This window comes from Homo sapiens, chromosome Y (genome assembly GCF_000001405.40).
Source record: "Homo sapiens chromosome Y, GRCh38.p14 Primary Assembly".
NCBI classification, from domain to species: domain Eukaryota; kingdom Metazoa; phylum Chordata; class Mammalia; order Primates; family Hominidae; genus Homo; species Homo sapiens.
Genome location: NC_000024.10, coordinates 23,867,051 through 23,880,252, shown reverse-complemented (window position 1 = coordinate 23,880,252; position 13,202 = coordinate 23,867,051).

Here is a 13,202-nt window from a genome sequence, read left to right as displayed (position 1 = left end):
TGAAGTGAGGGGGAAAATGGAACCAAGTTTGAAATTACGCTTCAAGGCATTATCCAGGAGAATTTCCCCAACCTAAAAAGACAGGCCATCACTCAAATTCAGGAGATACAGATAACACCACTAAGATACTCTTTGAGAAGAGCAACATCAAGACATATAACTGTCAGATTCTCCAAAGTTGAACCAAAAGAAAAAAATGTTAAAGACAGCCAGAGAGAAACGTGAGGTTACCTAGAAAGAGAAGCCCATAGTACTAACAGTGGATCTCTCTGCAGAAACTCTACAAGCCAGAAGAGAATGGGGCCAACATTCAACATCCTTAAGAAAAAAAAAATCAACCTAGAATTTTGTATTCAGCCAAACAAATCTTCCTAAGCCAAAGAAAAATAAAATTGTTACACACAACCAAGTGTAGATGATTTATGTAACCACCATGCCTGCTTTAGAAGAGCTCCTGAAGTAAGCACTAAATATGGAAAGAAAAAACTGTACTCACCACTGAAAAAAATAGCAAAATATAAAGACCAACAACACCAAGAAGAAAGGGCATCAACTGATATACAAAATAACCAGCTAGCAATGCCAATGCAGGATCAAATTTACACATAACAATATTAACCTTAAATGTAAATGAACTACATTTGCCAATTAAAGTACACAGACTAGCAAATTGGATAAAGGGACAAGACCCTCTGGTGTGCTATATTCAGGAGACTCATCTCATGGGTGAAGACAGGCATACACTCAAAATAAGGAGAAAGTCAAAAAAAAAAAAAAAGAAAAAACAGGGGTTGCAATACTAGTCTATCCTAAGACAAACTTTAAACCAATATAGATCAAAAAAGACAAAGAAGGGAATTACATAACGGTAAAGGGATCAGTGCAACGAGAAGAACTAATGATCCTAAAAATATATGAACTTAATACAGGAGCACACAGATTTATAAAGCAAGTTCTTAGAGACCTACACAGACTTAGACTACTACCCAATCATAAAAGGAGATTTTAACAGTCAGATATATTATGCAGATAAATGAGACAGCATATTAACAAGAATACTTAGGACTTGAACCCAGCTATTGACCAAGCAGAGCTAATAGACATCTACAGAACTATCCACCCCAAATCAACAGAATATACATTCTTCTCAGCACCACATAGCACTTATTCTAAAATTGACCACATAATTGGAGGTAAAACACTCCTCAGCAAGTGCAAAAGAACGGAAATCAAAACAGTCCCTTATGCCAAAGTGGAATAAGATTAGAACTCAGGATTCAGAATCTCATTCAAAACTGCACAACTAAAAGAAAACTCTAAAACCTGCTCCTGAATGTCCACTGGGTAAATAATAAAATAAATAAAGAAAGAAATAAGTTGTTTAAAATCAATGAGAACAAAGACACAACCTACCAGAATCTCTAGGACACAGCTAAAGAAGTATTAAGAGAGAAATTGATAGCATGAAATATTCATATCAAAAAGTAGGAAGGATCAAAAATCCACACCCTAAAATCACAATGAAAAGAACCAGAGGGATGGACATGGTGGCTCATACCTCATATTTCAGCACTTTCAGAAGGTGGGCCAGGAATGTCACCTGAGTTCAAGAGTTCAAGAGCAACCTGGCCAACCAACATGGTGAAACTCTCTCTCTACAGAAAATACAAACAAAACAAAAAAAAAACCTGGCCTGGTGGCACACACCTGTAATCCCAGATACTTGGGAGGCTGAAATGGGAAAATTCCTTGAACCCAAAAGATAAAGGTCACAGTGAACTGAGGTTGCACAACTCCCTTCCAGTATGGGTGACAAAGCAAGGCACCTTCTCAGAAAAAAAAAAAAAAAAAGAAGACAGAAAGAAAAGGAACTAGAGAGGCAAGAACAAACAAATTCAAACAGTGACACAAAAAAGAAATAACAGATCAGATAATTGAAGGTGATAGAGTCAGGAAAATCCTTCAAAAATCCATGAATCCAGGAGCTTTTTTATTTTTATTTTTGTAAAGTTTAACAAAATAGAGTTGTAGCCAGAACAATAAAGAAAAAAAGAGAGAAGAATCAATTAGACATGGTAAAGAAAGATAGTGGGGATGTAACAACTGATCCCACAGAAATAAAAACTACCATCAGAGAATACTGTAAACACTCTACGCAAATAAATTTTAAAAATCTAGAAGAAATAAATAACTTCCTGGACACATACACCTTACCAAGACTAAACCAAGAAAAAGTAGAATCCCTGAAGAGACCAACAAATTCTAAAATTGAGGCAGTAATTGGTAGCCTACCAAACAAGAATGCCCAGACCAGACGGATTCACAGCTGAATTCTACCAGATGTACAGAGAAAACCTGGTTCCATTTCCTTCTGAAACTGTTCCAAACAATACAAAAAGAAGGACTCCTACTGAACTTCTTTTATGAGGCCAGCATCATGTTAATACCAAAGCCTGTCAGAGACCACCACCCAAAAAAATTAGGCCAATATCCCTGATTAATATCGATGTGAATGTCCACAACAAAGTACTGGCAAACTGAATGTAGCAACCCATCAAAAAGCTTATCCATCAAAATCAAGTCAGCTCCATCCTTGGGTTCCAAGGCTGGTTTCAACATATGCAAATCAATAAATGTAATCCATCACATAAAGAGAACCAATGGCAAAAAACACATAATTATCTCTATCGATGCAGAAAAGGACTTTGATAAAATTTAACATCCCTTCCTACTAAAAACCCTCAATAAACTAGGTATTGATGAGATGTATCAGAAACTAATGAGAACTATTTGTGACAAACCCATAGGCAATATTATACTGAATGGGCAAAAGCTGGAAACATTCCCTTTGAAAACACAAAACACAAGGCACAAGTCAAGGAAGGCCTCTCTCACCACTCCTATTCAACATAGTATTGAAAGTTCTGCCCAGGACAATAAGGCAAGAGAAAGAAATAAAAGGTATTCAAATAAAAATAAAGGAAATCAAATTTTCCCTGTTTGCAGATGACATAGTTGTATATTTTGAATACCCCATTGTCTCAGCTCTAAAACTCCTTAAAAATAGAGAAGCAACTTCTCTTTTTTGTAAGTTTGCTTAAGCTTATAAGCAACTCCAGCAGTCTCAGGCTACAAAATCATTGTGCAAAAATTACAAGCATTTCTATAGACAAATAATAGATGAACAGATAGCCAAATCATGAGTGAATTCAAATTCACAATTGTTCCAAAGAAAGTAAAATAACTAAGAATAAAACTTACAAGGCATGTGAAGAACTTCTTTATGGAGAACTACAAATCACTGCTGAAGGAAATAAAAGAGGACACAAAAATGTGGAAAAAATTCATGTTCATGGATAAGAAGTGTCAATAGCATGAAAATGACCATACTGCTTAAAGTAATTCACAAATCTACAATGATCTGATCTTCAACAAGCCTGACAGAAACAAGCAATTGGGGAAAGATTCCTTGGTACTGAGAAAACTGGCTACCCATATGCAGAAATCTGAAACTGAATCCCTTTCTTACAACACATACAAAAATTAACTCAAGATGAATTAAAAGACTTAAACATAAAACCTAAAATCATAAAAACCCTAGAAGAAAACCTAGACAATACCATTCAGGATATAGACATGGGAAAGACATAATGACAAAAACACCAGAAACAATTGGAACAAAATCCAAAATTGACATTTGGGACCTAATTAATCTAAAGAACTTCTCCACAGCAAAAGAAAATATCATCAGGGTGAACAGGTGACATACAGAATGTGAGAAAATTTTTTCAACCTATCTATCTGACAAAGGTCTAATATCCAAAATCTGCAAGTAACATAAAAACATTTACAAGAAAATGAAATACCCCATCAAAAAGTGGGCAAAGGATATGAACAGACACTTCTCAAAAGGAGACATTAGATCAGCCAAAAAACATATGTAAAAAAAGATCAGCATCACTGGTCATTAGAGAAATGCACATCAAAACCACAATGAGATATCGTCTCACATGGTATCTGCGTGTCAGAATGGTGACCGTTAAAAAGTCAGGAAACAACAGATGCTGGCAATGATGTGGAGAAATAGGAATGCTCTATACTGCCGGTGGGAGTGTAAATTAGTTCAATCATTGTGGAAGAAAGTATGGTGATTCCCCAAGGATCTATAACCAGAAACACCATTTACCAGGAATCACATTATGTGGTATATACCCAGAGGATTATAAATCATTCTACTATAAGGAAACATCACATGTACATTTATTACAGCACTATTCACATACAAAAAAGACATGGAACAAACCCAAATTCCCATCAATGATAGAGTGGATAAGAAAATATGGCACATATACACCATGGAATACTATGCAGCCTTTAAAAAGAAGAAGTTGTAATACACATACACATGCACGTGACCTTGTGATAGAATGACTTATTTTTTTGGGGGGTGCTATATACACAGTTATGAAATTGCTGGGTCCAAAGGTATTTCTCACTCTAGATACTTGATGAAACGCCACACATTTTTCCACATTGTCTATACTGATTTATATTTTGAACAACAATGTAAAAACAATTTTATTACTGCACTACTTCACTACCATTTGTTATTTCATGGGTTTTTAGTAATCACCATTTCCACTGGCCTAAGACGGTATCTCCTTGCCATTTAGATTTCTTTTTCCTTCACCATTAGTGATGTTGAGCTTTTTGACATGAAGACAGAAGACCAGTAACTCTTTTCTTACCCCAGTTTGGCCTTTTTATATCAGCTCTTCAACACCCATTTCACCTATTTTTTAAACACTATCCTGCAAAAGGAAAAGTATTATGTGTTTAACTTATATGATAAAGATAGTCATCAAATTCATTTCCACAAGACAGAAACATATTTGGGTATTGCTTCCATGGAAAAAGGAGTTTACAATTGCACTTAATGTAAGAGGCCAGAAATTCTGCTCATCAACATACAATGCACAAGGAAAGCTCCTCACAAAAAGAAATTATATGAGTACAAAATGTCAAAATCCAGGGATCAGAAATTCTGCTCCATTAGTAAGCTTCGTAATCTATTGGGAAAATATTAACCTTAAGCCCAATGCCATGAATTAGAGAAGTACATTCTCACAGAATATATGTCTGTGTAAGCAAGTGGGATAGGGTGGTACAATGTAAATACCAACTTTTCAACTTTAAGTTCTAAAAGATTTTGAAACAAAATAATTTTCAAATAAGGTTTAAAAATTCCAAATGTGGGAGACTGAATTTTAAGTATTTCAAGATCCAATAGAAGTAACACATTTAAACACAACTAGCTATGCTCCTTTTTTCATGGGATTTTGGGAGAGTCACCTTGACAGTTGAAAACCTCTGTGGCCAGTGGTGCTTTTGCCTGAGTTCTGCTCAGGCCTGCTAAGCTTGCTCTACCCACTCTGCCTGACAGGCGGCACTCAGCTTGCATTATGGGTCAGGATTTCATACCTGCCAAGGGCAAACATGAGGTAGAGTGGCAAGTGGTGTATGAGCAAGTGTGGGGTCTAGCCGCTATACACAGCCAGGCCTGCCGGCAGTGGCAAAGCAGGAAATTTTAGGTGCCAACAGAAGTGCCATCTCACTGAGACACAGCAGCTGGACCAGGCATACTGCAAGCAGCTTCCACAGCTGATACTGGGGAATGTAGTGGTGCCCAGAAGTTTCGGGATGCCAAAAACAGCAAAGCCCTAAAGAGGGTGTCATAGCCCTGTCTTCGAGAGACCCTAGGTCTGTGCACCCTGAAGGGCCACAGCTGTCCTCTTATTTTTGTCTTTCAGAATGTGATGATCAAGAGACATCTTTTTATCCCAATTTTTGTTACAGTTCTTTCAGCTCCACCATTCAGTGATTCTCAAATAGTTGTTCTGCAACCAGGAAGAATGAGGTAGACGGACACGTAGAGAGTGAGAAATGTATAGATAAGATTTACTCAGGAACAGAACTCAAAACAGATCCCCATTGGGTAACTCCTCTCCACAGGCTGGATGTTCTGATGAGTGTCCAGCTCTCAGCAAAGAGATGGCTTTAGAGCGGGCAGCTCTTTCCACAGGCAAGGTGTCAAGGATTAGTATCCAGCTCTCAGCAGGAAAGAAACCCTGGACTTGGTAGCTTCTCCATCCAGCTGATCATCTTATGAGGTGTTAAGTTCTCCACAGAGAGAAGATCTTGGAGTGGGTAGGTCCTCTTCACACCTTGTGGTCCTAACATTGGCTAAGCCTTCAGTCAAGAGAAGACCTTCAAGTGGGTATCTCCCTTCTCTAGCTGATCATCCCATTATCTCCCCAGCAGAGACTGTGGCAGGTAGCTCTAGCCCACCACTGACAGTCCTGAAGTCTCCTCAGCTCACAGCAAAGAGATGGCCCTTGAGTGGGTAGCGCCTCTCCACAGTAGGTAGTCTGAAAAGTCCTCAAATCTTGTTGAGTCCAGGAATATTATGTGCTTCAAAGGAAACAAAGTGCTTGCTGATTGGATTATTTGGCAAAAATGCGTGCATTTCAAAAAGCACCATTGGTTCCCATTCTTGTCCATCAGCCTGAGATCCAGACTTCAGGCCATCACTGGCTTGAAGGTGGAGATTCAGTGGGACCTCTTTGGGAGCCAGCAAGTTTATTGCCATGAACCTGTGATGGCTAATACTGAATGTCAACTTAACTGGATTGAGATATACAGAGTATTAGTTTGGCATGAGTCTGTGTGAGTGTTGCCTAAAAGAGATTAACACTTGGGTCAGTGGGCTGGAGAAGGCAGAACAGCCCTTAATCTGGTGGGCACAATTCATTAACTTCCAATGAATATAAAACAGGCAGAAGAACGTGAATAGATGAGACGGGCTTAGCCTCGCAGCCTACATCTTTGCCCTGTGCTGCATGCTCTCTCCTCTCACATGTTGGACTCCAAGTTGTTCAGTTTTGGGACTCAGACTGGCTCCTGTTGCTCCTCAGCTTGGCGACAGGCTATTATGTGACACTGCAATGGTGTAAGTTAGTATTTAATAAACTCTTCTAAAGTACTGTCCCTTAGAGAATCCTGAGTAATACAGATTTTGGTACCAGAAGTGGTTCTAGGAAAACAGAATATTGAAAAGGAAGTTCTTTCATTGGTTTTGGAGTTTCTGGTGTTGCCTGCTATATATAATTTGATGTGAAAATGCTAAGGATTCTACTTCTAATTATATGGAGAACACTGATAATCCTTGGTGGAAACCGTTCATAGAGTTATGCAAAGTAAATGCATTTGACACTTCTGATTCACCAATTGTGAGAGGCAATGAGTTTTGTTTACTCTCTGCATAATAATTTTGACATATATGGAGAACCAAGGATCACAATGAAGCAGGTTGGTAGCTCTTAAGTTCAGTGGACACAATGATCAGAGGTAATGATGCACTCAGAAATTCTGTCTCCCAGCTTCAGAAGCCCCAAATCTGTTAATTTTGTCCTGAGTGAGAGTCTTATCACCTGTAGAGAAAGAGCCAAAATTACAGGCTTTTATCATGTAAGTGACTGACCTTCAATGAAAGTTGCATGCACATTCTCAAAAGGTGTCTACTGTTAGAGTGAGGCATTGATTGAGTAGAATGGGACCCTGCAACTCTGAAAGGATGAGTCAGAGGACCCTGATGAAGCAGGGGATACTGAGTGTGTAAACTCTGATGAAGCTTTTTGCCAAAAGAAAAGCTTTCTCATTTCCAGAAGGGGCAATGTCATCTTTCTGATCCGTGCTGATATCAGTCTTTCCAACTCAGTCTGAGGTAAACAAACCCTGCACTGGTTGATGCAACAGTTATGGCCTTCCCTAGGACAGTTGCCAGGAAAGATAATGTTGATTCTTCTCAGAAGCCATCCCGAACACCTCTGTTTTTTTCTAAACCGGGCTAGAATGCTGTGGTGGGCTCCTAGAGGTGAGGTAGAGAGTGTGACACATCAGGTAGTGTGCCACACACACACACACACACACACACACAAACACACATACACAAATAAACTGTTCAAGTTATCTCATTTATATGAACATCAATCTGGAGAACAGGCATGGGGATGGATATTAATTGTATGAGATTATGGTGTAAGGAACATAGAGTTGTATCAGGCTGAATTTACTGATTAGGACCATCAAGGTAGTGACTTTGTGTTTAATATGGCAGCTTGGCGAGTTAAAAAGAAAAAAAAACTTCCAATAGTTTACACACTTAGTTAGCTGAAATGTGGATTAAAAGATGACCTGCTGTGAGTTAGCTGGAAATGCCTGGCCTACACTGGTTTAATGGAGAGGAGAAGATCCAAAAGCTTTGGAAGATTGGGATGGTGAAGTAGACTCATCCTTTCGACTTACTCATCCAGACTGGTAGGGTCCAGAACACATATCCTTGACCAATGCCTTGTGAAATAGATTGGGTGGTCAGCACCTGCATTTTTGAATAGCCCTGTAATTGCTCTTCTCTTTTGTCAGATCTAATGGTGGAAACCACAATCACTCAACTACAAAATTTAAATACAATGAGAAAAATTGGATCCTGATGTGACAGGGGCCAAGCAGCAGCACTCAACCATCAAAGGCAATGTGGGCACAGCTAAGGGATAGTGGCAGTCAGAATAATGTGAATCCTGTAGAGCTCTATCATTGGTTAATTAATCATGGTGTTCATGGAACTGATATTGATGGAAAACTACTGCGTTCATACTTAGGTTACACCTACAAAAATCTTTTGGCCAAAAGGACAAAAGACTATTTTGAATGATGAAAACAGAGAAGTACAGTCTCTCCATGAATTTCCAGATGAGAGCCAGTTTAAAGACCTAGAACCCATTGAATGAAGGGGAAGCTGGGTTCCCTGGACCAAGAAACCCACTACATAAGTATTTATGCAGTGAATTTTTACACCATCTTTCCCCAAGGAGATTTTCAGGCTTTTATCAAGGTGACTGTGCATTAGGGAAAGGGAAATAATCAGACTTTTCAGAAACTACTGGACACTAGCTCTGTGCTGATGTGGGTTCCAAGGACCCAAAACATTATTATGGTCTTACAGTTGAAGTAGGAGCTCAGGGAGGTCAGGTAGTTAATAGAGCTTTAGCTTATTAGGTCAGATTTACACAGTGTTCAGTAAGTCCCCAGAGTCATTCCGTGGTCATTTTCCCAGTGCCAAAATGTACAACTGGCATAGACATACTTGGCACCTGGCAAAATCCCACATCTCTCTGACGTGTAGGGTGAGGGCTACTCCAATACGAAAGGTCAAATGGAAGCCACCAGGGCTGTCCCTACTTAGAAAAATGGTAAATAAGAAAAAATACCAAAACCCTGAGAAGATTGCGAAGATGGGTGCCATCATAAGATATTTCAAAGTTGCTGGGGTGATAATTACCAGCACATCCTCATTCAACTTTCTTATTTGGCCTGTGCAGAAGACAGGTGGATCTTGGAGAATTACATTGGAGTATCATAACTTAACCGAGTTGTCAGTCAACTTGCAGCTGATGTACTAGATGTGGTTTATTGTTTGAGCAAATTAATACATCTCCTGGTATGTGGTATGCAGCCATTCACTTAGCAAATGCCCTTTTCTTTATTCCTGTCTATATGGACCACCAGAGGCAATTTGCCTTCAACTGGCAAGTCCACCAATTCACATTCATTATCCTCCCTCAGGAATATACTAATTCTCTGGCTTCCTGTCATAATCTTATTCAGAGATCTTGATTTCTTTTCACTTATGTAAGATGGAATATTGGTCCATCACATTGATGATATTAGGCTGATTTAATGGGTGAGCAAGAAGTAGCAAGCACACTTGAATTATTGGTGAGACATTTATGTACCAGAGGATAGAAAATTAATCTCACCAAAATTCAGAGAACTTCTACTTCCATAATATTCATAGGGGTCCAGTATTGTGAAGCCTGTCAAAATATCTTTTGTAGGGTAAAGAACAAGTTTTTGTATGACCCTCTTATATCCAAGAAAGAGGCACAATACCAGCTAAACCTATTTGGATTTTTGAGACAACATATTTTTCATTTGAATATGTCACCCAGGCCCATTATTGAGTGACCTGAAGGGCTGCCAGCTTTCAGGGGCATCCAGAATAGGAAAAGACTTTGCAGCTACTGTAGGCTGCAGTGCAAACCCCTCTACCACTTGGGCCATATGTATTTTAAGTATTTATCTTAAGTATTTCCTCCTTCTTTTGTTAAAAAAAGTTTGTGCAGATAAACGCATGTACTAAGAAATTATCTTCCTTTTTTATTTTCCTTTATCATATTACATAAGATTTACTGAGTTCTTATCAACATTGGCGTATTGTAAACTTTATGAAATATGGTTTGATTTGGGGATTGCTGCATTCCTGGTTGTAAGAGGATAATTGTATTATGTTAGGTATGATTATGACCTCATTTTTGTCTGCATTTGAAGATTATGTATTATAGCAGGAGATGTGTATTGATTCAAGTTGACAAGGGGTGGACTTTGATGGTTAATACTGAGTATCTAATTCATTGGATTGAGTGATATAGAGTATTAATCCTGGGGGTGTTTCTTGGGTGTTTCCCAAAAAAAGATTAACATTTGAGTCAATGGGAAGATCTATATTAATCTGTTGGGCACAATCTAATAAGCTTCTAGCAAATATCAAGCAGACAGAAACACATCCAAAAGTAAGATGGGCATAGCTTCCAAAGCTTGTATCTGTCTCTCATGCTGGATACTTCTTGCTCTTGGACACCGGACTCCAAGTTCTTCAGTTTTGGGACTCCAACTTACTCTCCTTGTTCCACAGCTTGCAGGCAGCCTATTGTGATCATGTACGTAATTACATATTTTTATATACATATGTACACACACATACACACACACATACATATATATGTGTATATATATAAATATATAAAGGGATGCCAAATTAAATAGTTTGTAAGTATTCTCAAAAAGCATTATTTGAATAAATACTGTAACTGTAAACCTTCTTTTATTAAGTCAGCTTATTTGATGGTGATATCATAAACTAATACCATACAAAAAATCTTGACATATATATATATATGTGTGAGTGTGTGTTTCTGTGGCCCATACAGATCTCTGTAAAACAAACAGTTTTAAAGTATTTATTTTTCTATTTACTTACTGCCAAGGCTATAAAACCTACATCAGGTTAGTTACTTAATAAATGGTTACAATTTAGTAAATACTCTATTTCTTTGAAAATAAAAGTGTATTATGTCTCCTTAGAAAATGACAATTTAAACTTTCACAAGGATTTAGTAAATACTGGCTCTATATTGTAAAATGTAGCCATTAAAATCAGGTTTAAATTTAAATAATCTATAAAGCCTAACTACCTCAGTGAAAAAGCTTTCACAAGTAATGATAATAGTAATAATATGAAGCAGTGCCAGCACTTTGAAAAATCAGAAGGTCAATCACAGACTTCCATAAATATTCCTCTTTCACTACAAGATTGGCCTGAACAACTTGGTTTCTACAAATAATGCCAGCTTCTGTACACCACTTAATGTCTGCCAATGCCTTGACTTGAACTCTGCATTGTTCCAAGAATGTGTCTAAACAGCAGAGCTCTCTCTCAGCATATTAAGTAAAAAAACAAAACAACAACAAAAAAAACTTGCCTTTTCATTTTAGGTATTGAATGGCATTGTATTAATCTTGGAAAAAATGCAAGCCCTATATGGGTAGGAGTTCTGCCTTGTAGACTAGGCTCTAGCATCGATAACAGAGCTTACAGGTTAGGCGCTAAGTGGGAACAAAGTATGCTCTGTAAGTGTGGATAACTAACATGTTGTTACTTGCTAAAGTCCTGAAACAAATTTTTTATTCAAACTAAAAGGATTTTACGTCGTCGAAATTCAACTGCTTTTGGATTTATCTTAACATTTTCAAATATTGTTCCCTATTACATCAATTTCTTCATTCATTGATCTTTATTTTCTCTTATTGTCTAATATGTATTTTTGTGAATGCATTTTTATTACGTTGGAATAAGGCAGAGCACAAATAATTCTGATCAAAGATGCCCACTATGAAAAGTTCTATCAAATAATTTTTTAAGAGGTGAATATATTTGAGCATTAGTTTTACTCAACAACTTTAGCAAAAGTGAAAATCCTCTAAACCCAGCTATAGTCCTTGAAAACTTGGTTTTCATTTAGCTTGCTTATTGTAATATCCTAGGAACTTTCATGTCATAACACATACTGAAAGCACAATGTGTATCCATAAACAATGCACATGTGTGCATATGTATTATTTATGACTTTTCAACTGCAGCCAAGATTAGCTCTATCCCAAATGCCAGGGATTGAGTTTTCTCCCTTGGTACCTCCAAAGTTGAGGCTGACTAGGGCTTTATTTTTTTGATATTAATGTTTTACAAAAGATTGAAAAACTAATAGGAAGGAAAAGCAGAAAAATAGAAAATATATGGCTTAGTTTCTAATCATTGATTAACTGAACTGACCTTACTTTACTAATGCTTACCCTAAGTTGAATCAATTGAACTTTACATAGGCTTTTTCAAATCCTTCTGCTTTATGGAAAACAAAGTAGGAGTTAAGAAATCTTCAAAATACAATACCAAAGAATTCTAAATGTGTATTTTTAAAAATAATTTTCTCCAGAAATGGTTCAACACTGTTACTTTCTCAAAAGCACCTGAGACTCAAGATTTTAGGATATTTAGCAGCATTTCTAACCTCTCAGCAATAGATACTAGTAATGTACCAGCCTCAAAACTTCAACTTCCAATCATGAACCAGGCTTAGGATGAAATTTAAAGTAAAATCTACAAACGTATAAAAACCCTAGCCAATCACATGGACTGTTGGTTACTTCTATGAACTCATCCACTGTAATTGTTTCCCTTATACTGTCTGTGGCAGCCACAGTTAGCTGGCTTTTTAAAAACAATTTAAACAGGCTTCCACCAGGGATCATCGTACTTGCTGACTTTGCTGCATGCTTACATAATTTTTTTTATTATTTTATTTAGATATTTACTTGAAAGTTACTTTTTAAGCCACTTAATTCATATTTGTTTTACATAAAACCAAAATGAAGTTTATAACAGAGAACCTTGCCTCATATATTTTATATGAAATTAATCATTTCAATTAATTTAAAAAACCAAAAACTGCATAACATAAAAACTAAAACAA